A 24,776-nucleotide genomic window follows, 5' to 3' on the forward strand; every position below is an offset into this window, starting at 1 on the left:
CTTGGACATCTTCAGAACTTTTTTTTTTTTTTTTGAGATGGAGTTTCGCTCTTGTTGGCCAGGCTGGAGTGCAATGGCACAATCTCAGCTCACCACAACCTCCGCCTCCCTGGTTCAAGTGGTTCCTCTGCCTCAGCCTCCCAAGTAGCTGGGATTACAGGCATGTGCCACCTTTCCCAGCTAATTTTGTATTTTTAATAGAGAGGGGATTTCTCCTTGTTGGTCAGGCTGGTCTCAAACTCCCAACCTCAGGTGATCTGCCCACCTTGGCATCCCAAAGTGCTGGGATTACAGACATGAGCCACCATGACCAGCCTTCAGAACTTTTAAATTGCATTTTAGGTTCCATTCTACAATGGTTAACAAAATTTTTAAAAAAGATCTCTGTTTTCATGGATTTTAGTATCTATTGAGAGATAGATAGTAAATAACACAAACAAATATATAATTGCAAACAATGTTGAGTGCTATAAAGGAAAGATTCACTAGATGTGGTAGACTTTGGTGGCCTCAGTGAATCATGCCTTCTGGTATTTTGCCCCTGAGTAATCCCCTTCCATGTTGACACTGGGTTTGGCCAACGATTAACTTGCACCACTGGGACATTACAAATATAGTGTAAGCAAAGTCTGATGAACTTGTGTTGGTAGAAGAGCTGAGGCAGGACTGGCTTGTCTGTCATAATATAAAAGAGTCTTGGAAGATGTCCGGGGTCCAGGGTCTAAAACCCCTCGTGGCCTTTGGAACACCAAGCTCTGTGCCAAAGTGTGGAAAGCTGCCCTGCCACACCACAAATCTAAGCCCAGGGCATAAAACTCCTCGTGGCTTGGATGGAATCCAGGGCTCAGGGCATAAAACCCCCCATGGCCTCTGGAATGTGCACAGACTTGGTCGCTCTCCCAGGCTCATAAACATGTTCTCCATTATCTCAAGCAGCAGAGCATATTCTATATGCGTCAAAGAAAATGCTAAACCGTCAGAGCTACGCTTGATGCACCACTACCTTTCTACCCCCACATCCTCATGCCCTCACCTGTTTATCCCCACATCCACATGTCCTCACCACCTGCTTCTTTGTCTGATCACCAATAAATAGTGTGGGATCCCAGAGCTCGGGGCCTTCACAGCCTCCATACCAGTGTTGGCCCTGTGGACCCACCTTATGTACTCTTAACTTGTCTTTTCTCATTCCTTTGACTCCTCCGGACTTCGTAGCCCCCACGGCCTGGTGTTGGGTCTGATCACCCCAACATTTCTGGCGCCCAACATGGGGCTATGAAGACCCCGGTGAAGGAATGCTAGAGCATGTGGAAGCAGAAGATGCATTGTCAGAGGACACCGAGGATGACTGAAAGAAGCTCGGCGGGTAAGCTGGGCACTCAGAAGAACCAGGGTAACAATGGGACAGAATGAAATTAAACATTCTGCTTATTTAAATTGCTTAAGGCATTTATTACAGAGAGGGGGAGTGAAAGTTAGTACTCAGAATTTATTAACACTCTTTAATACAGTAGAGCAGTTTTGCCCATGGTTCCCAGAACAAGGGACAATGGAGTTGGATGAATGGGAAAGAATTGGCAGAGATTTTAAAAAGGTGCATAAAGAAGGAGCCAAAATTCCATTTTCTGTTTGGTCAGCGTGGGTGTTGATAAAGGCAGCTCTTGAGCCATTTGAAACAGATGATGAGGCAGATTCATATGAGGAAGAGGCAGGTGACTATAAAAAAACTAACTTCAGATTCTGAATGTGAGGGACAGGACCCGGAGGAAATTAAAGAAAAGAAAGGGAAGCTGAAAAAGGTGTATTTTACTAGCCAGTCGGTTCCACCTGCTGAATTAAGTGAATGGCCACCTCCTCCCTCTCCTCCTAATGGGTGAGAAAACGAATTAGCTGAAAAACTTACTGCTCTTGTAGTTGCAACATTAAAACCTGGAGCGACTGGTGGTGCTATACAAAATTCTATTCAAAACGCTAGAGCCGAGAGAGACCTTGAAGCATGGCAATTTCCAATTACTATAACCCAACGACAGAATATAGCTAATTGGGCCACTTTTCTTTTTAAGTAGTTAAAGGAATTTAAGCAAGCCGTTAGTCAATATGTGCCAAATTCTCCTTTTGTACAAACTTTACCAAAAAATGTGGCTCTTGATAATAGATTAATACCATATGACTGGGATACTTTAACAAAATCTGTTCTCACTCCATCTCAGTACTTACAGTTTAAAACCTGGTGGGCTGATGAAGCTCAAACTCAGGTAAGAGAAAACACACAAGCACAGCCACCTGTGCCTGTTTCTTTTGAACAGCTAATGGGAGTTGGCCCTAATTGGGGTTGATTAGAAAATTAAGCAGTAATGAAGAATGTTGCCATTGTTCAGCTGTGCACTGTGTGCTTACAGGCATGGAAAAGAATAAATGTTACAGGGGAAAAATATCCTTCTTTCAGTTGTTTGACTAACTGCCAAACCAGTTTGGGTGGAGCAATGGCCACTAAAACAGGAAAAACTAGAGGCTTTAAAAAAATTGGTGCAGGAACAATTGCGAAAGGGACACATAGAGCCTACTTTCTCTCCTTGGAATTCTCCTGTGCTTGTTATTAAGAAAAAAATCAGGGAAGTGGAGAATGTTAACAGATTTAAGGGCTGTTAATGCTGTAATTCAACTCATGGGCGTGCTGCAACCAGGGCTGCCCTCTCCAACCATGATTCCAAAATACTGGCCTCTAATAGTAATAGATTTAAAAGATTGCATCTTTACCCTTAGCTACCCAAGATTATGAAAAGTTTGCTTTTACTGTTCCAGCTATAAATAACAAAGAACCAGTGGACAGATACCTTTGGAAAGTATTACCACAAGGCATGTTAAATAGCCCAACTATTTGTCAAATTTATGTTGGAAAAGCTATCTAGCCAGTTAGAGAACAATTCAAAAAATGTTATATTATCCATTACATGGATGATAATTTATACGCAGCTGAAACTAGGGAGGAAGTAATACTATGCTACAAACAGTTAGAAAAGGCTGTAACTGCAGCAGGATTAATCATAGCCCCCAATAAAATCCAAACTTCTACTCCCTTTCAATATTTAGAAATGAAAATAGAACAAAATACTATTAAGCCTCAAAAGGTTCAAATTAGAAGAGATAATTTTAAAACTCTACATGATTTTCAAAAATTATTAGGAGACATTAATTGGATTCGTCCAACTTTAGGCATTCCTACTTATGCTATGTCTCATCTGTTTTCTGCCTTACAAGGTGATTCTGATCTTTTTTTTTTTTTTTTGAGATGGAGTTTCCCTTTGTTACCCAGGCTGGAGTGCAGTGGCGCCACCTCGGCTCACTGCAAGCTCCACCTCCCAGGTTCATGCCATTCTCCTGCCTCAGCCTCCCAAGTAGCTGGGACTACAGGCACCCGCCACCATGCCCGGCTAATTTTTTGTATTTTCAGTAGAGATGGGGTTTCACTGTTTTAGCCAGGATGGTCTCAATCTCCTGACCTCATGATCTGCCACCTCAGCCTCCCAAAGTGCTGGGATTACAGGTGTGAGCCACTGCGCCCAGCCAAGGTGATTCTGATCTTAACGGTAAATGCTCTTTATCCAAAGAAGCATTAGAAGAACTTCAATTAATTGAAGAAAAAATTCAACAGGCACAAGTGACTCGAATTGACTCTATGCAGCCATTACAGTTTTTTTAGTTTTTCCTACTAAACATTCACCTACAGGAGTTACTGTTCAATAGAATGATCTTGATCTGGTTGAGTGGCTTTTTCTACCTCACAATACGACTAAAACGCTCACTCTGTACTTAGATCAAATTGCTGTACTAGTAGGACAAGCAAGGCTGCACACAACAAAGTTAATGGGATATGATCCAAATCAAACTATAGTTCCATTAAACAAACAACAAATTCAACAAGCTGATATTAATTATCAGGAATGGCAAGTTAATTTGGCAGGTTTTATTGGCATTCTTGATAATCATTATCCTAAATCCCAAATATTCCAATTTCTTAAATTAACATCATGAATATTGCCTTCCATTACTCAAAAAATCCCTATTGAACGGGCCATTACTGTTTTTACTGATGGATCTAGTAATGGAAGGCCTCATTTGTGGGACCTCAACAACAAATTTTTCAAACTGACTTTGCTTCTGCTCAAAGGGCTGAATTTATGGCTGTGATAACAGTGTTAAAATCTTTTAAACAGCCAGTAAACATTGTTTCTGATTCAGCCTCTTTAGTGCAAGCCAGACAAAATATTGAATGTGTCTTAATTCAAAATGTGACTAATGACCAACTTAATCTTTTATTTCATTCTTTATAGCAAGCAGTACAACAAAGGCATTCCCCTTTCTATATCACTCATATGAGAGCACATACTAACCTCCCTGGCCCTTTAACTAAACTTAATCAAAGGATGGATAATTATATGGGGAAGAGGATTTGCTTGGGTCTCTCCAGGTAACAATCAGGTGCCTGTATGGGTGCCCACCAAACATCTGAAGATCTATCATGAGCTACAGCAGGAAGAGAAGACTCTGGGAAGAGCCAAAACTCCTGATACGAGTGATTCCGCAAACAAACATCTCAGAGACAAAGGAGAAAACCGAGAATAGTCGTCAGGCAAATTCTCCAACATGGGGACAAATCAAGAAGCTGGTGCAGATGGCAAAGGACAACTTGAAAGCACAGAACAAACTAAAAACAACTAGTAACCTGATGGTGGCCATGCTGGCAGTACTCACCATGGCGGCAAGCCTCCTTACTATAGGAGCAACTCAGAATTTCACTTATTGGGCATATGTCTCATTTCCTCCTTTAATTAGGTCTGTGAGTTGGATGGACCCTGTTATTAAGGTGTACACCAACGTCAGTACCTGGATGCCAGCACCCATAGATAACTGAGGGCCAATGCATCCTAATTAGGAAGGGATAAAAATAAATATATCCATAAAATATAAATATCCCCCAATATGCCTGGGACCTGCTGTTGGATGTTTACAGATTGACTCACAGGCCTGGTTGGCAGTAGTCCCCAAAAAATTAAATCATGGGCTGCTTTGCATATGATTTCGGGGCATAGTTTAAAATATAATCATTCCCATCCTAAAACCCTGCAGTTCCATCTGAATAAGTTCAAATATAAACAAAATAGAGTTTAAAGGTGTGGATTCTTGAACTTGGGAAGATTGTATGGCAAGTAAGGCTGAGGTGCTACAAAATAATTCCTATGGAGTCATCATTAATTAGCCTCCTAATGGGATCTTTTAAAAAAAATTGCACCAGAAGGCCTTCTTGTAGAACAAATATAATAAACCGATGTAACCACTGGCAATTAAATCATACACAATATATTCGGACAAAAGCTGAGGTACCTATCATATGGAGTCCTACTGGCATTGTCACCCCTAGTCCAAAAATAATATCTCCTGCCATAGAACAGGAATGTTCTGAATTAAGGAAATTAGCTATGGCTCAAAGTTCAATCAAAATTTGATAGGGTAAATATAACAACTATAAAGAGGAAGGAGGTAAAAATAAATATGCTCTTTCTTTTCTTTTCAACAGGACTTTTTGGATTCAAAGTTGTGTCCAGCCACCTTTTGTGCTAGCAATAGGAAATATTACTCTTGATATAAATACACACTTTATTTCATGCCTCAAATGTCATTTTTTACCTGCATTAATTCAACTTTTAATAAAAATCAGACTATCCTAATAATTAAAGCCAGGGAAGGAGTCTGAATCCCTATGTCTTTAAATAGACTGTAGGAGGCATCTCCATCCATTCATATAGTAACAAATTCTCAAAAAACTTTTATCCTGTTCAAAAAGATTTATAGTTGCTCTCATAGTTGCTACAATTGGCCTCATTGCTGTTACTACTACTACTGCAGTAGCTGGTGTGGCTCTACAGTCATCTGTACAAACTGTTAAATTTGTCAATAAGTGACAAAAGAATTCCACAAAATCATGGAACTCTCAAACTCAAGTAAACCAAAAAATAGTTAACCAAATAATGATCTCCGTCAGACAGTGATTTGAATGAGAGATCATATCGTAAGTTTAAAAAGTAAAATTCAAATGTAATGTGATTGAAATACCTCTGAGTTTTACATTACTCCTCATCTGTATAATAAAAGAGAGGATGAGTGTGAAAAAGTTAAGAGACATTTAAAAGGTCATACTGGAAATTTATCTTTGGATATTGCAAAACTGAAGGAACAAGTATTTCAAGCCTCTCAGGCACATCTGACACTAATGCCAGGAACTGAAGTATTTGAAGGAGCTGCAGACAGATTAGCAGCTATTAACCCGCTAAAATGGATCAAGACACTTGGAGGCTCTGTGATTTCAATAATGATTGTGCTTTTAATCTGTGTTGTCTTTATATACTCTGCAGATGCGGAAGCCGCCTCTGGAGAGAAAGCCACCTCCAAGAATAAGCAAAGATAGCTGTGGTGGTTTTGCAAAAAAGAAAAGGAAGACATGTTGTTAGAAGAGCTGAGGCAGGACTGGCTTGTCTGTCATAATATAAAAGAGTCTTGGAAGATGTCCGGGGTCCAGGGTCTAAAACCCCTCGTGGCCTTTGGAACACCAAGCTCTGTGCTAAAGGGTGAAAGGCTGCCCTGTTGCACTACAAATCTAAGCCCAGGGCATAAAACCCCTCGTGGCTTGGATGGAATCCAGGGCTCAGGGCATAAAACCCCCCATGGCCTCTGGAATGTGCACAGACTTGTTGGTTGCTCTCCCAGGCTCGTAAACATGTTCTCTATTATCTCAAGGCAGCAGAGCATATTCTGTGTCATCAAAGAAAATGCTAAACTGTCACAGCTATGCTTGATGCACTGCTACCTTTCTATCCCAAAGCCTTCACGCCCTCACCTGTTTACCCCCACATCCACACATCCTCACCACCTGCTTCTTTGTTTGATCATCAATAAATAGTTTGGGCTCCCAGAGCTCAGGGCCTTTGCAGCCTCCATACCACCGTTGGCCCCCTGGACCCACCTTATGTACTCTTAATCTGTCTTTTCTCATTCCTTTGACTCCGCTGGACTTTGTAGCCCTGACGTCCTGGTATTGGGCCATTTACATTAACTTTCACCATACAATTAACTTTCACCATTGGGACATTACAAACATAGTGTAAGCAGAAGTTTGATGAACTTGCACATAGGATTAGGCCTCTTTGAGTGCACTTTCTTAAAATCCAGTTGCCAGTCTGTGAGGAAGCCAAGCAGCCACATAAAGATGTCCATGTAAGAGTTAACCAAGGAGCCTGGCCAAAAACCCCCCACTGAGCTCCCAGTAGGTGGCCAGCACGATATACCAGCCTTGTGACCTTGCAACTATCTCAGCACTCCAGCTGACACAACACCCCATGAAGCAGAATCACCTAATCAACTGATATGGTTTGATGCTGTGTCCCCACCCAAATCTCTCAATCTGAGATCCCCAATGTTGGGGAAGAGACCTGGTGGGGTATGACTGGATCATGGGGGCGAATTTCCCCCTTGCTGTTCTCGTGAGAGTGAGTGAGTTCTCACAAGATCTGGTTGTTTAATGGTGTGGAGCACCTCCCCCTTCACTTTGTCTATCCTGCTTCACAATGTGAAGATTGTTCCTGCTTCCCCTTCACCTCTGTCATGATTGTAAGTTTCCTGAGGCCTCCCCAGCCATGCTTCCTGTACAGCTTGTGGAACTACGAGCCAATTAAACCTCTTTTCTTTATGAATTACCCAGTATCAGGTAGTTTTTCATAGCAGTGTGAGAACAGACTAATATATCAACCAAAAGAATTATGAGAAATGATATCCTGTTAGTATTTAAACCACAGGATTTTGGAGTGATTTGTAAAGTAGCAATAAACAACAGAAACGCAAGACTATAAGAACAAAAACAAAAGACCTATCTAATGTGGAAAATCAAGGAGGCTTTTCCAGAGGAATCAATAATTTACATAGAATATGGAAGAAAAAAAAGTATGAGTTAACTTCCAAACAGAGAACACAGTCCATAATGGCCTGTGTTTGAAGGGAAGCAGATGCACTAAAAAACAGAATGGAGATTATTATTTTATTTTCTCTTTTTTTTTTTTTTTTTTGAGACAGAGTCTTGCTCTTTCATCCAGGCTGGAGTGCAGTGGTATGATCTTGACTCACTGCAACCTCCGCCTCCCAGGTTCAAGCGATTCTCCTGCCTCAGCCTCCTGAGTAGCTGGGATTACAGGCACCCACCACCACGCCCAGCTAATTTTTGTACTTTTAGTAGAGACAAGGTTTCACCATGTTGGTCAGGCTGGTCTTGAACTCCTGACCTCAAGCAATCCACCCACCTCAGCCTCCCAAAGTGCTGGGATTACAGATGTGAGCCACCACACCCAGCCTAAAAAACAGAATGGAGATCATTTTCTTATGCATTTTTGCCTAATTATAAAACAGGCCAGACATGGTAGCTTATACCTGTAAGCACTTTAGGAAGGAGGCCAAGGCGGGAGGATCATCTGAGCCCAGGAGTTTGAGACCAGCCTGGGCAACATAATGAGTCTCCGTCTATATAAGGAAAACAAATATATATATATATAAACAAACATATATATATATATATGGGGAGGCTATATATATGTGTGTGTGTGTATATATATGTGTGTGTGTGTATATATATAGAGAGAGAGAAGCAAACATGTGCATACATTGACTTTATACAATAGTATACTTAAGAAGGAAACAAAAACCCAGACCTAAAACTGATATGTCTAGTCTTGCTTATTAATACAGACTAGCTATTATGAGCCATCTGTGACATATACACATTGTGCTGGGACCATCTGCAATGTTCCTAATCTAATGGTTTAAATGATGGCTCACACCCTCATTAGACGATATCAGCACCTCAAAACACATTTGTTGGAAATAGCAAGGTACTGATCCCTTCAGATGCTATCAAGTGGCTACACTGTAAACTAATGCACATCCTAGCAAGAACAAAGGGAACACAGACATTGAGTCCCTTCTGTGGACCAGGACATTTGACAGACTCATACATTCTTTCATTAATCTTAGCAATCTCAAGAGCAGGTATTATTTTTCATTTTTTACTTATTAAAGAAAGTAAGGTTTTTAAAGTTTCATTAGCTTGATCACATGGCTCGAAAGTAGTAGAGCAAAGTTTTAAATCCCAGGCTGTCTGCCTCCAAAATCTGCATCTATAATAGCTGTTGTTGGTTGCCTTCTCTGCTCCCTTTTCCCCCTTTCTTCCAGATGTTTTTCAACACCCATATCCTCCCATGCAGCCAGTGAGCTTCAAGGGTCAGTCTCTTGCCTACAGCAGTCTTTTTTTTTTTTTTTTTGAGACAGTCTCTCTCTGTTGCCCAGGCTGGAGTGCAGTGGCACGATCTCAGCCTCCCAGGCTCAAGCAATTCTCGTGCTTCAGCCTCCCAAATAGCTGAGACTAGAGGCGTGTGCCACCATGCCCGGCTAACTTTTGAATTTTTTTGTAGAGACGAGGTTTCACCATGTTGCCCGGGCTGGTCTCAAACTCCTGAGCTTGAGCAATCTGCCCGCCTTGGCCTCCCAAAGTGCCAGGATTACAGGCATGAGCCACGATGCCTGGCCCTCCAGTAGTACTTCTTAGCAGCAGGTGCAACTGGCACTTGGGGCTGACCAGTTATTTGCTCTGCAGGGCTCTCAGGTGCATCTTAGGATGTTTAGCATCCCTGACCTCCACTTGCCATCACTCTAACAACTCAAAATGCCCAGCATACACTTGCATGGAAGTGCTCAGCCTGAGAATGGCCAGTTCACACAGAATACCGTGCCTCCTGCCAATGATGGGTTCAGGAACTTACCCAGCAATTGGTGAGCTGCCCCTTGAAGGGGATTTCCCTGCCACATGGAATGATCCATGTGCTTCCCACAACCTCGGCACTGCACAGTAATCCTATCACTTTGATATTCTTTTTCCCATTTTACAGATTAAGAAACTGAAATACAGATGGAATCAATGGCATGGCCAGGTCATATGGTCAGTAACTAATGAAGCTGGAGGCTTAATATACTGCCAAATAAAATTATGGGAGTGACCTGAAGATCCAGATTGGATCCCAGGGCCAGAACTGGATGGTAATTTGATTGAATTTGTTAAAGTATCTAAAATGACTGTTATCACAAGTGGGGTTAGTCAGCCTTAAACCCTCAAAAAAGGAAGGTCTCAGAGATAAAAAGCAGTATTCTCTATTAAAACATGATTCATGGTTTAGATCTCAAGAACTTCAACCACAAAAAAAAACTTGTTTTAAACATGATTCATGGGAGTTTTTCATTCATCAAAATATTTGATACTTGGGCAAAGCCATTAGGCCAGGATTATAAATGCTGCAGAGGCCAAAGAGATAAATGGCGCTGTTCAGAGGGAGATAACAGGGTGTGGTTAGGGCTGATGAAGTAAGTGAGCGAATGAGCTGATTAAAGGTATTGGGATTAATGTTTTTCTCATCCCAAAAGTGAGATGGGTGACTCATGTTCTCTTAGCTTAAGGTCATTAAATATTCCATAGACATTATTCTTTGTCCAGGATAACAAAAAGCTAGTTGCACAAATTTAAAATATCCCTGTCTCTGGGACAATGATTTCTCATTGCAATTTGACCTTCTGCTTTTAAAAATCAGACTCATAAACTAGGTTAATGTAAGTCCATTCCTGAAAGATGAATTCACTCTTGATATACAGAGAAATCAGGTTTCTAAGCCTGATTTACTATACATACCAGCCTGTGAGCCCCCTTGGGAGACACAATATAGCCTTGCTTTGTGAACATAAAGCATACATCATTTCCTTGTGGACGACAAATATGTTTTTCTTATTTGTTATATGCTGATGATTTTTAAATTTGTCTGTGGAGGTCACAACTCTCATTAGTCAAAAATTTAAAAAGCTGTACCAGGCTTGCTGTAAAAATTAGATGATTTAAGGTAGTTTGTTAAACATTTTTTATTGCATTAAACTTTTAGGAAATTTTAAGAATAACTGTGAGAGATTCAATAGATACATAGGTAAAGGACACAAGCATGTTATCTACAATAGAGGAACTACAAATGTCTAGCACATAGTTGAAAAAAACATTTGGCCCCCACAATTATGCCAGCTATGTAGTATTTCTATCTCAAGCTCAGGCCACTCCCCCAAGCTCCAGATTCAAATGTCCAATCGCTCATGTGAGATCACTTAGAAGTCTACTGGCATCTCAATTCAACATGTCCAAAACAGAATCTTTGATTCACTCTCCTTTTTCCCACATACCTGGTCTCCTACCTCAATTAATTGCATTACTTTGTTCATCAGGCAAAATAAACAGGAATCATGCTTACTTTTTTCTCCTTCCCAGTTCTTCCATACAAAGTCTGTCATTGAGCTGGACCTGGTGAGGTCCTGGACTCTTGGGTGCTGCCTGGACCCACCCAAATGCCAGAATGGGAGTGACTTGATTAAGTTCCTCAGGGAGCTAGGTTAAGCAGATAACCTTTCTCTTGTTTCACACACACACAAAAATCTTGCCCTCCTAGAAATTCACCTCTCAAAACAATACCAGCCAAGTAGAAGAGGAAAAGAAGAGCAAGTGTCTAGAGGCCCTGATTTGCCTGGACACCCATCTGGGTGATTTGGGGTGGCCAACTTGAAAGAGCTTTTTTTTCCCCCAAGCCATTCTCTCCTGTTCTCAGCCAGCTTCCTGCAACCATGAGGTCAGAAACAAAAACAAGTATGTTTGTGCTTTTACATTTGTGATGGGCAAGGTACTCTAAAACGCAGGGTTCAGGGCAGGGGCCCCTTTCTTCTGAGTTCAAGAAAGCCACTGAGTCTTTTTTTTTTAGACAAGGTCTTGCTCTGTCACCCAGGCTAAAGTGAAGTGGCAGGAACATGGCTCACTGCAGCCAGTCTCATTCTCCTGGGCTCAAGCAATCCTCTCACCACAGCTCCCCAAGTTGCTGGGACTACAAGCACATGCCATAGTGGCCTGCTAACTTTTTTATTATTATTATTGTAGAGACAAGGTCTCACTTTGTTGCCCATGCTGATTTCAAATTCCTGGGCTCAAGCAATCCTCCCATCTCAGCTTCCCTAAGTGCTGGGATTACAGGCAAGATACACCACTGTACCTAGCTTTTATTCATTTTATTATTCATCTTTATTGCTTTCATTGCACATGCTGTTAACTTCTTATGAACTCTTTGTTCTAATAAATAAGCATATCCAGGTTTTTCATAAATAAATGAGGAGTCTATAAATTCTTACTAGTTTTAATAGAAACATTGCCACTAAAATGGTGTATTCTAGCTGTGTGAGCTTTTGGAAAATGTTTTCATTTCCTTTATGTTTGAATGTTCCTTCCAGGTCTTTGAAAATATACATTCTGAGTTGAAAAGCTTTATAATAGGTAAAACTCATTAACCCATATACTTTCCATGCTGGGCACAGCAGGTGTGGTAGGTAGAAATATAAGATGACTCCCAAGATTTTTGCACCCTGGCATACACATATGCTTTTCCAGTTGTTGAAACACTAATTTAGGTGCTGCTGTGAAGGGATTTTGTAGATGTGAATAATGTTCCAAATCAGTTGGCCTTAAGATAGAAAGATGATCCTGGATGGGCCAGATCTTATCAGTTGAGTCCTTAAAGGGAACAGCACCCTTCCTGACAAAGAGATTCAAAGCATGAAGGATTAAAAATGAGAGAGATTCTCTATTGCCAGCTCTGGAAATAGAGTAGGTCACGTGGTAAGTCGTTCAAGTGGCCTCTAGTTGCTGAGAGCAGCTCCCAGGTAAGAGCCAACAAGGAAATAATGACTACAAGGAGATGAATCTGGCCACACTATGTAAGCTTGGAAAGGAACTCTGAATGCCAGATGAGGATGCAACCAAGCCAACACCTTGAGTTTAGCCTTATGAGATCCTGAGTCGAGAATCCAGTGAGACGATGCCCAGATTTACCACAACCCTAGAGGCTAAAGACAATACCCCCTAATTATCTCACAATGCTGTATTGTCTTTAGTCTCTAAGGTTATTTAGTAATTTAGTAATAAAAAGCAAATCCAGTAGGACCATGCTAAATTAAGATACAACCTCTATATCATATGATGCAGTGTGAATCAGCACAGTAGAGATTGCAGTGTCTCTGGAAGCCATTTCTATACTGGACAATTCTTTGCAATAATTCAACTACACGTGCAAGTGATCAAATTAATATATCTTACAAAACTAAGTGTATCTTCAACAATACTCTTCCTTAACCAGTACCAAAAAAAAAGATCTGTGAATATTCTCTAACACCTCTCAACACAAGGGCAAGTGTCACAGATGGAAGTGAAGACTAAAGAGAGACAATAGAATTCACTGATTAAGGTTTAAATATCTTACTTTAGCAACTTTTTATTTGCAAAAATAGAAAACTGATCATGTGAACACATTTGCATTAAAAGATGTTTCTGCAAATTAGGGGCCCTGAAATTAAGCTTCATTAGGTTCATGGTAAGTCTACCTCTCTCTTTATCTATAGCACTTGGCAAAGGGCCTGGCATCTGAATGACAGGTCTCAAATGTTCTTTTTCATATGATTACATTAAATAAATCATTAAATTGTTATTTACTTAAATAACTTTAAAATTTTCTTGAGTGAATTAACACTACTTGAAGGATCCCTGTAAACTGAGTCCACTTTCAATTTCCTATCTACTGGGTCACTTATAACAAACCATGTTACACGTATACTTCCTCATCTCTGCTTGTTTCCAAGAAAGGAAAGGTAAGTAATTTAGTTTTTGTATTTCAATTAGTAATTCAATAACCTGTCTGTTTTTTGTTTTTTTAAAGCAAAATAGCTTATCTCAGAGTTCAGATCAGACAATCTCACCACTGGTGTTTGGATTCAGTGTCTTTTGAGGTAAAGTGAAAGAAGAACCTTTCAGAAATGCATGCAGTTAATTCAAGGAGAGGAAGAAGGATCTAGTTCTAAAGAGGTTTTTGTCTATAATTGATTTTTCTAAAGGAAAAATCAACAAAAAGTATAGTGTGTCAATGCTGAATACTCTGCTCTTTCAAACGGACACTTTCGTATTATAATTTGTATCAGATACAGTATCAAGAAAATTAAAATACCCATATACTAAGAGCAAAAAATGTTCTTCAGTAAGTCTGGTAATGAAAACTTCAAGATAAGATTTCAAAATTACATAAGGCTGCAGTTCTTCTAATAAAGATTACTAAACTGTAGTATCAGAAAAGGTACTTTTGGGGAATCAAATGATAGTGAAGCTTCCCTCCTGGTTTGTACCTTAAACTTGCTTGGCTAATGGCAGTACTTTCACCACCCCCATTTAGTGTAACTTTTGTTAAACTTAACTTAAAATGCAAAATGATGCATAATATACAATGTTATTCATAATGATAATAGCTGCTGTAGTATTTGGATATAAGAGTTTTCACAGGCAGGAAAACATTCAGTTTCTAAAAAATGATTCAAAGTTCATGAAAAAGTATAAATAAACGGTTTACTCTGTTGTTCACGTAAATCCCTAAGGACGTGGAATGGAAACAAACAGCAAGTATTCTTAAAAAAAAAAAAATCCTTTTTAGGATCTACTTTGTCATTGTATTCTAGCCTTAAAACAATTGCTTTGCATATAACTTTTTTTAAAACTGAAAAAATATGCTTGATCTTCCTTTTCTGACTACACAATTATTTTTTTCTTTTTTTAATCAAAAACTCACTGCTTGCTAATGACCATACAATTATTGTTGTTGTTGTTGTTTAGAGACAGGGTCTCACTCTGTCACCCCAGCTACAATGCAGTGACACAATCATAGCTCACTGTAGCCTCAAACCCCTGGGCTCAAGTGATCCTTCCAAGTAGCTAAGGCTGCATGCCACCATGCCTGGCTAATTTATTTTTATTTTTTTTATAGATGGGGTCTTGCTATGTTGCTCAGGCTGGTCTGGGATTCCTGGCCTCCAGCAGTCCTCCTGTGTAGCTGGGATTACAGACTTGAGCCACAGCACTGGCCTAAAATAATTATTTGTCAGTTCCTTATTTAAAATATTCTTAGCAGGCCGGGCACAGTGGCTCACACCTGTAATCCCAGCACTTTGGGAGTCTGAGGCAGGCAGACCACTTGAGGTCAGGAGTTTGAGACCAGCCTGGCCAACATGGTGACAACCCACCTCTACTAAAAAGACAAAAAGATTAGCCAGGCGTAGTGGCACTTGCCTGTAATTCCAGCTACTCGGGAGGCTGAGGCAGAATCGCTTGAACCTGGGAGGCAGAGGTTACAGTGAGCCAAGATTGCACCACTGCACTCCAGACTGAGTGACAGAGTGAGACTCCATCTCAAAAATAAAATAAAATAAAATAAAATATTTCTAGCAGTATATAAAACCAAAACCACAACAAACTTCTTTATAGGCTAATCCATTTATAACAAAATTGTATGCAGATAGATCACATGAACATGATTTGACTCAAAATGGATCTGACTTCAGATGATATTTATTAGATGTCTGTTTTTATTTCTTTATCTATTCAGGTTTGTGGCAGCCAGCTACCAAGGTGGCTCCCAATGACCTTTGCCTCTGGCATAAATGCCCATGTGTAGTCCCTTCCTACATTTTATCATGGCTGGTCTGTGGGACTAACAGAATACACCAGAAGTGATGATATGCAACTTCTGAGGCTAGGTCATACAAAGACATTGAGGTTTTTGCCTTGTTCTATGTCAGATCACCCTCTCTGGAAGGAATCAACTGCCTTGTCATGAGGATACTCACACAGTCTTACGGAGAAGTCAAAGAACCGAGGTCTCCTGCCAACAGCTGGGTGAGTGAGCCATCTTGGATGAAAATCCTCCAGCCCCAGTCAAGCCTTCAAATGACTGCAGCCCTGGCTGAAAAATTAAATGCAACATATGAGAGACCCTAAGGCAGAATCACCCAGGTAAGCTGCTCGTAGATTTCTGATGCACAAAAATTGTGTGAGAGATCAAATGTTTATTGTTGTTTCAAGGCTGTGCAGTATTTTCTCATAATCTGAACATTTGTAGAGGTTTCTGAGAATTGATCTCCAGATTCCATACATTGGGAAATTTAAAACAGCAGTGGAAGTACAGCAATTTTTCTTGCCACAAACCTGAATTAACCTTACAGATTTTTTAATAGGAGCCCTGAGATATAATTTTACTTTTTGGAGAATATACTTACCCTTTTAATAGCTTAACTTTTCTTTTTTAGAATAAAAATGTTTGGAAAACTAGACTCCTGTTTCTCCAGATTAGAAATGAAATTTGATCCTGTGGTGGCAGTTTTTCTCTCTCTCATCATTACATATGTTAGAAATTCTGATAAGGAGATTGTTAGAAGCAGAGATAAAGATTATATAAAAGAGAGAGGAGACAGAAAAGGAGGTGAAATGTAATCTCACAATTCCCTGCACCACTTATTTATTTCCTAAAATCTTGTCTCACACAAAAGACATCAGAGACAGAAAGTTTTCTCTGTCCACATCTCCCATAGGGACAAAGATAGCTTACCATTTCTTGGAAAATAAAGAAAAAATGAATTTTTCTTTACCAAAATTTAAACACCATTAGGGATAGAGGTTAAAATTAATTGAGACATCTGTAAGAGTAACAAGTACCGCTACTCTGGGTACATTGCCCATGGGGTAGCCCTGCTCCACAAGAAGCAGTAAAGCTAAAACAAACAAACAAACAAAAAATAAAAAAAGAGTAACAAGTAGTTCTCTCTTTAGCACCATGTGAAGTATATTTTCATGATCCCATTCCCATTCCAATCCCAAATTTTCCAAAGCAAGGAACACCTACTATTTAACATAAAACATAGGACATATTAAAGACAAATGAAGAGTAGGGTTTGAAACCGTTGCAAGATCTGGTCTCCACTGACAAAAAAAAAAAAAAAAAAAATTCAACAATGTAGATGATAAACTACTACCGACTTTACCTGGTTGTGTAGGAATTGTTCCCTTAATATACTTGGATACATTTGTAGAAAATAAGCCACCTGCAACTTGGTATATATATACTCTCCTAGCAATAATGTACTTTTCAGAGTGTCTTCACATCTATCGCTAGAAATGCTATTATGTAAGTAACCAGAATTATTATCTCTTTTGAACAGATGATGAAAGTTTGAAGTGGACTTTCTCAAGGACAGCTAGTTAGTGGCAAGGAAGAGACTGTAATTCAGACTTTCTGGAATCCAAAATGGAGCCTTTCTCCTGACCATTGTCTCTGTTGAATGCACTAAGCAAATCTCTAGGACTTAGAAAAAATAATTAATTTAAGAGTATTATTCTTGTTTTTAATTCACTTTTAAGTTCTATATGAATTATTAATTCAATATCTATTATATAGTGGTTTTTTTTTAAGATAGGGTCTCACTCTGTTGCCCAGGCTGGAGTGCAGCAGGAATGCAGTGGCACAATCATTGCTTACTGCAGCCTCAAACTCCTGGGCTCAAGGGATCCTCCCACCTTAGCCTCCCTAGTAGCTGGGAATGCAGGTATGAGCCACTGTGCCCAGCTTATATAGTAATTTTTTTAAATAGTTAAAAATAATTTTTAAGGCCAGGCAGAGTGGCTTACATCTGTAATCCCAGCACTTTGGGAGGCCAAGGTCGGAGGATCACTTGAGTTCAGGAGTTTGAGACTAGCCTGAGCAACATAGCAAAACCCCATCTCTACAAATAATTATTATTTTTGAGACAGAGCCTTGCCCTGTCACTGAGGCTGGAGTGCAGTGGTGCCATCTCGACTCACTGCAACCTCCATCTCCTGATTCAAGCGATTCTCCTGCCTCAGCCTCCCAAGTAGCTGGGATTACAGGCACATGCCATCACACCCAGCTAATTTTTGCATTTTTAGTAGAGATGGGGTTTCAACATGTTGGCTAGGCTGGTCTTGAACTCCTGATCTCAAGTGATCCACCCTCCTCGGCCTCCCAAAGTGCTGCTATAACAGGCGTGAGCCACTGTGCCCGGCTATACAAATAATATTTTTAAAGTTAGCCAGGTGTGGTGGTGTGTGCCTATTGTCCCACGTACTTAGGAGGCTGAGGTGGGAGGATCACTTGAGCCCAGGAGGCTGAGGTTGCAGTGAGCATGATTGCACCACTGCACTTCAGCCTGAGCAACAGAAACCTCATCCCCCCCAAAAATAAACTTTTTTTATGCAGACAAGGTCTCACTATTTTGCCCAGGCTGGTCTTGAATTCCTGGACTTAAGTGATTCTCTCACCTCAGCCTCCCAAAGTGCTGGGTTTACAGGTGTGAGACAGCATGCCTGACCAAATAGTTATATTTTTAATGCAGTATTTTATAAAATTGGCTTATTGTTATCCCAATATTCATTGTTTCTGTTCCATACACTTATATGAGTACTTTCTATTACTAATGACCAGTCCATTGGTATAAAGAATAGCCTACATATAAAAGAAACTTTTTTCTCCCACCTACACACACTTTGACTGAGGATGTGAATTTGCTGTCACTAATTTTTGACTCTTCAAGTAGCTTTCTGAAGGATGAGCAGAACGGAATGGAAAAGAGAAAACAGTCACTTCTGGCTTCAACATGGAACCAGATTATTGAACCAGAAACAATGAATATTTGGATAATAATAAGCTAACCAGAAATAGGTCATGAGTGGAAAAGCAAAACAAGAAATATTACTAAGAATGTTATCCAACTAGACTAGAAATGGCATATCAAGTAGATGAGAAAAACCAAGTACAATAAGGAGGGTTGTTGAAGCACCTGGAATGACTACGCTAAGACAATAGCTATAAAAGATAATGCCCTTGAAGACCCAGCTTAAAAGACTCTCCCTCTGCAAAACCTACCCTCATTTCACCCCCAAAAAATTGTACTCTCTAAAATAATAGAGCTCCTCTCCTGTAGCCTTCATCAGGCCAAAGTTATTTATGACTTAGCACAAGACAACTCTCCTTTAAGGCAGGGTCCTTGTTGGGCTCATTTAACTCCTATGGTTTTTTTTGTTTGTTTGTTTTTAGAGACTGAGTCTCATTCTGTCGCCCAGGCTGGAGTGCAGTGGCACAATCTCAGCTCACTGCAACTACCCCCGAGTTCAGGTGATTCTTCTGCCTCAGCCTCCCAAGTAGCTGGGACTACAGGTGCGTGCCACCATGCCCAGCTAATTCTTGTATTTTTAGTAGAGATGGGATTTTGACATGTTGACTAGGCTGGTCTCAAACTCCTGACCTCAGGTGATCCACCTGCCCCGACCTCCCAAGGTGCTGGGATTACAGACATGAGCCACTGCGCCCAGCCTCCTGTGGTTTTTTGTTTTTTGTTATTGCCAGTTGTGAGAGTTGGGGCAGAGGGAGAGATATATTTCCTTTGCAGCTACAGTTCTTATTAACAGGTTGAAGGTGGAGGAGGACAAGGAGGAGAGGAAAGGAAGGGGGAAACAACCTCAATGTTTAAGAAGTGTCCTCTGTGTGCTTGACATAGTGCTAGACATTTTATATATGTCATCTCAGAGGGGAAACTAAGGCTTAGAGCATTTAGTAATCTATCAAAGATCACTCAACTGATGTTGAGTGGTAAAGTCAGGATTTGAATCTAATTATTTCTTCTTCCAAAACTGGTACTGAGTTCCGGTGTGGTGGTTCACACCTGTAATCCCAGCACTTTGGGAGGCCAAGGCAGGTGGATCACTTGAGGCCAGGAGTTTGAGACCAGCCTGGTCAACATGGCAAAACCCCATCTCTACTAAAAATACAAAAATTAGTCGGGTATGGTGGTGTGCACCTACAGTCCCAGCTACTTGGGAGGCTGAGGCATGAGAATCGCTTGAACTCAGGAGGTGGAGCTTGCAGTGAGCTGAAATCGCACCACTGCACTCTAGCCTGGGTGACAGAGAGAGACTTTTTCTAAAAAACAAACAAACAAACAAACTGGTACTGAGTTTAAGTATTTGCTGGAAAATTAGTTCTGTTATGGTACTTGGAGATGGCTGAAGGAAGGCATTTCACAATTGTTCTTAATTATTTCTGGGTCATGGAAGAATCTCTCCCATAAAAGTGTACATGTGCAAATATATACATCATTATCAGTTTTGCATACCATTTCAGAAGGAGTGGCTAAGGAACCATGGAAACCAAGGCAAAAACCTCAAGATTACAGTATTCCCAACCACCTTCTCCCATTCCACTCCACCCTATCCCTCTTCCCAAAGCCTGAGAGTAATTAAAACCAAAGAAAATATAAACATGAAAGTTTAGTTGGGAGAAGCAAATGCAAACTTCTAATATAGTATTGTACTCAAAAATGTCATGGAGAACTTGATTAGGAGACACTGAAGAATGTAGTGCTACAATCTTGAAATTTCACAGTTATGACCTTCAGACCATATATGATGTAAGGCTGAGAGACAGAGTTACCACAACACATCCTAAGAGACTGAAAATAGCCGAAAATCAAACTGAATGGAAAATTCCAGGAAGTATACTATATTTAATGGAAGAGAGGTTTATTTCTGTTATTTTGTCTGGGGGACTTTTCTTGAAAAATATGTTTGGATTTTTATGGGCTAAAGAAAATGTTTTAAATGAGGTTTATGTGATTTTTATTTATACCCTGTATTTTTTCGAAGATTTAAGAGATTATAGGTTTATAGAAAATATAACAAAATATTATGAATCATACATAGGAAAAAAGGTAGAGACATAAAATAGAGCCAGGAACAAACTTAATTTTAAACCATGAATTTATATAGTGATTAGGCCTTTAGTTCCTCAAGTTAATTTCTTTTTTTTCTTTTTAATTTTCTGTAGAGACAGGATCTCACCATGTAACCCATGCTGATCTTCTTGAACTCCAAGGCTCAAGGGATCCTCCAGACTTTGCCTCCCAAAGTGTTGGAATTACATGCATGAGCCACCGCACTCAGCCCCTCAAGTAATTTCCAAAAATTATGCAGTGCAAAGAGTTTTATGTATTAGGTATACATTTTTCATAATTTACACAGTATTTTCACATACATTATCTCATTTGATCCTAAATGGACTTTGTTAAGCAGTTATTATCCACATATTCCAAATAAGGAAACTGAAGCCCAGAGAAGAACTTGAAAATCCTGTTCTTCAAGGTGGGAGAATTGCTTGAGGCCAGTAGTTCAAGACCAGCCTGAGTAACAGAGGGAGTCTCCATCTCTCCAAATAATAATAATAATAATAAATGATATAGGCGTGGTGGCATGTGCCTGTGATCCCAGCTACTCAGGAGGCTGAGGCAGGACAATCACCTGAGCCCAGGAAGTCAAGACAGCAGTAAGCCATGACTGGGTCACTGTACTCCAGCCTAGATGACAGAGCAAGACCTCCTCTCAATCAATCAATCAATCAATCAGAACAATATGCATTTGACATCTATGGCCCCTGCATTTTCACGAGAGGATTACTACCTTCTTTACAGATGGCTTTAGATTTGGAGGCTGGCTAAGCATAAAATTAAAAGACGTCATGCTTGGAATAGCCCTTTTAAGAAACACTTAACTCCTTTACTTAATAGACAAGTGCACTGAACCACTCATAATTTTTTAAATTATTTTTATTTTAATAATTATTTTATTTATTAAGACACAAGGTCTCAATCTATAGCCCAAGCTGGAGTGCAGTCGCACCATCCTAGCTCACTGCTGCCTCAAACTGCTTGGCTCAAGCTATCCTCCCTCTTCAGCCTCCCAAGTAGCTGGGACCGCAGGCACAAGCCATCGCAACCTGTGCTCTGAAGCTTTAAGAGGCCAAACGATTCCTCACATTCATCCGATCAGTTACAGGTAGAGCCAAGACCAGAAGCCAGGTATCCTATTTTCCTTATAACACATTGCCTCTATAGCTTTATATCCATTTCTATGATTTTTGTTACATACCCAGTTCTGACCATTTCCTGTCACAATTTCCTTTGTCTACTAAGTAAAGTTCTAAATGCATGGTGACATAACATACAAGGCCCTACATAACCTGGCACAAGAGACCTCTCCAGGTACTCTCCTCCTCTAACAGTGTAGGAATACTCCTGACTCCTAGGATGCCAGGCATTTGTATAACATCCTAATAGAGTTGTGCTGGTGAAGGAAGGCCACATCCCTCTATCTTGTGAGAGTGAAGACTTGAGTTTCTCCATCACCAAGGAAGACTTGGGTGAAGGCACTCAAGTGGGAGGGACAAAATGACATCTGAAAACTGGAGGCCTTGGGCAGGGACCTCCCCTTCCTCAAACTAAAGGTGAATGAACCAAATTTTGCGATTCCAGGTAGCTTTTCATGTCAAATTTTCATGTCAAATTCTTCCGTGCCATCTCTGACCCTTTAGTAAAATCCCCTCCAAATATTCCAGAAAAACCTTGTGAGTTCATATTTGGCAAGGCCATCCAAAGCATGTTAGCAACCCAGCATGATGGTGTCAGTACTAATTACATAATGAGAGGCCCCAAAGAGAAGAGTATTAGGCAACAGGAACGAGGGCCACTAAATCCCAATCGCTTTTCCCCAGCAATGATTCTCCTTCAATATGAGGTTATGGGTTATGAGGATATGAGTTAGTCAATTAGCTTCCTTATGCAACTTCAAATTCCCTGAACAGATCCAGGAATTTTGCACATTCTGTTCCTTGTCCATAAACTTTGGTTCCCCTCCCCAAACTGTTGTTCTTTCGACAAACTCTATACATAATTCATATTCCTGGCTCAGAAATCATAATCTCTAAGTAACCTTTCCTGACACCCTATTCTCCACCTCCTCTTCCATAACCTGTGGTCTTTTTGAACAGAGTGGTGACATTTTGGGCTGGATGACTGAAAAAGCAAAGTAGAAAAACAGAACATAGAACATACAGGGCCTCCAGTTGCTGTGCCTGGCGGTACATGAAACATAGTATTCAATAACTATTCTTTGAATGCACAGTCATTTTGTTTTTTCCTTTAACAGTATTTCCTAATAGGTAACTCATGAACACTGCAAAAAATGTCAAACTGCACAAAAAAATTCAGGGAAAAGTACATTTTCCCCCCAATCCCATTCCCTCCTTTCTCTTAATACCAGTTAGCTTTCCTTTCAGATTGATTATGCATATATGGGTATGTAAATGTTTTCCCACTATTTGTTACACATAAAAATTATATACAATTCATATATTACATATGGTGCATGTTATATACACACACATAAACAGATCATCTCGGTTTTGCTTAACCTAAGTCAGGCTTTTTTTTTTTTTTTTTTTTTAGAGCAGCCCTCAGAACCAGGACAGGTTCAGAGACTTTATTTATTTTTTATTTACTATTATTATTTTGAGACGGAGTCCCGCTCTGTCGCCCAGTCTGGAGTGCCGTGGTTCAATCTCGGCTCACTACAACCTCCACCTCCCAGGTTCAAGTGATTCTCCTGCCTTAGACTCCGAGTAGCTGGGATTACAGGCGAGCACCACCACGCCCGGCTAATGTATTTTTAGTAGAGACGCGGTTTCGCCATGTTGGCCAGGCTGGTCTCGAACTCCTGACCTCAGGTGAGAGCAACGTAGTACTCCACTGTGCGTGCATACCATGATTTACTTTGCAGTCCCAGATTTACGGTTTCCAATTTATAAATACTGCCATTTTCACCTTCAAGCCCCGATGCCAAACACAGAAATACCAGGCCACCCCCACCCCCTCGCCGTGTGCCTCCCACATTTTCACACACATTTTCAGGAGCCCAGGGCGCAGCCTCACACCGAACGCCGCCTCTGCCGTCCCCTCACTTGCCCCGTGCCCCCACCGCAGGGCTGAAGGCGACGGAACCGAGCCTTTGTACCCCCACCAGCCCCGTTCCCTGGCGTCTCCCGGCCGCCGGGCTCGCCCGCTCAAACGTGGCGGAACAACCGGAGCCGGGCCCCGCCCTGCTGGAAGACAGGGCGGACCGGGCAAGGCAGGCGCGGGGCGGGGCGGGGCGGGGCTCCGGCTGGCGGGGCGCGGCCAGCGTGCAGGGCTGGGCCAGCGTGCGGGGCTCCTCCCCTTTCCTCCGGCGGCGCCGGCGGCCGCAGAACTTCCGGGTCGGCGCGGAGGCGGGGCGGAGGCGCCGCGGCGGCTGTTATTGTTCGGCTGGGCTCGGTCGGGCGCTGTCTCCCTCGGCTCTGCGGGTGTCAGTTCGTCCGGCTTCCTCACAGCCCCTCACTCCCGGCGGCTGACAGCAGCAGCGGCGGCGGCGGGCGGCGCCTGGCGTTTCGAGGCTGAGCGGCACCGGGGTTGGGGCGCGGAGGAGGAGCAGCAGCGGGAGGAGGAGCCGTGTGCCCTGGCACTGAGCGGCCGCGGCCATGGCGTACGCCTATCTCTTCAAGTACATCATAATCGGCGACACAGGTGAGGGCCCCGGGCGCGGCCGGGCGGGTGTCGGCGGCCTCCGGACCCGGGCTGAGGGGCAAACGGCGTCTGGCGGTGGCGGGGACGCGGACTCCACCCGGCGCCTCCCTCCTGGCCGCGCCGCTCCATTTCCGCAGTGCTGGAGCTGGTGACGTGGGCACTGCGAGCGGCCGCGGCCTGGCCAGGCCCGGTCTGCGGCCCCCGACCCGGCCAGTCTTGCAGCTGAGGGCCGTGGCAGCCGTTTGCGACGCCCGATTCAGGAAGTGTGTGACAGGAGGGGAGGCCTAGCGCAGGGCCGCCGGGGCCCGACTCACATGACTGCACCCCACCCCCAGGGCCCCTTG

General features: G+C 41.7%; 1 protein-coding gene and 1 long non-coding RNA gene across 3 annotated transcripts in view, besides 3 other annotated features; both read left to right on the top strand.

Annotated features, from left to right (window-relative positions):
• The first annotated feature begins 1,117 nt into the window (after positions 1–1,117).
• LOC124901949 (uncharacterized) lies at positions 1,118–23,977 on the top strand. Its single transcript, XR_007060922.1, has 3 exons — positions 1,118–1,366; positions 15,778–15,991; positions 20,871–23,977. It is a non-coding gene; the product is annotated as an uncharacterized LOC124901949 (long non-coding RNA).
• Positions 23,314–24,174: an enhancer, noted in NCBI's record as "H3K27ac hESC enhancer chr8:61428694-61429554 (GRCh37/hg19 assembly coordinates)". NCBI's record gives its function as "activates a minimal SCP1, AML or CMV promoter by ChIP-STARR-seq in primed H9 embryonic stem cells {active_cell/tissue: H9 hESC(primed)}" and the evidence as "EXISTENCE:reporter gene assay evidence [ECO:0000049][PMID:30033119]".
• Positions 23,314–24,619: a biological region, named in NCBI's record as "H3K27ac hESC enhancer GRCh37_chr8:61428694-61429554".
• Positions 23,750–24,619: a silencer, noted in NCBI's record as "silent region_19224". NCBI's record gives its function as "represses an Ori minimal core promoter by ATAC-STARR-seq in GM12878 lymphoblastoid cells {active_cell/tissue: GM12878}" and the evidence as "EXISTENCE:reporter gene assay evidence [ECO:0000049][PMID:35858748]".
• The window catches only part of RAB2A (RAB2A, member RAS oncogene family), a 106,735-nt gene continuing 106,047 nt past the window's right edge, over positions 24,089–24,776 (top strand). The window contains exon 1 of one of the 2 annotated variants that reach the window (NM_001242644.1): positions 24,089–24,432. In NM_001242644.1, the coding sequence (NP_001229573.1) occupies positions 24,387–24,432 (46 nt within the window). In that variant the 5' untranslated portion in view covers positions 24,089–24,386. The remainder of the gene's footprint in view (positions 24,433–24,776) is intronic. The other variant, NM_002865.3, reaches the window with a different exon arrangement.

This window comes from Homo sapiens, chromosome 8, assembly GCF_000001405.40.
Source record: "Homo sapiens chromosome 8, GRCh38.p14 Primary Assembly".
Lineage (NCBI taxonomy): Eukaryota > Metazoa > Chordata > Mammalia > Primates > Hominidae > Homo > Homo sapiens.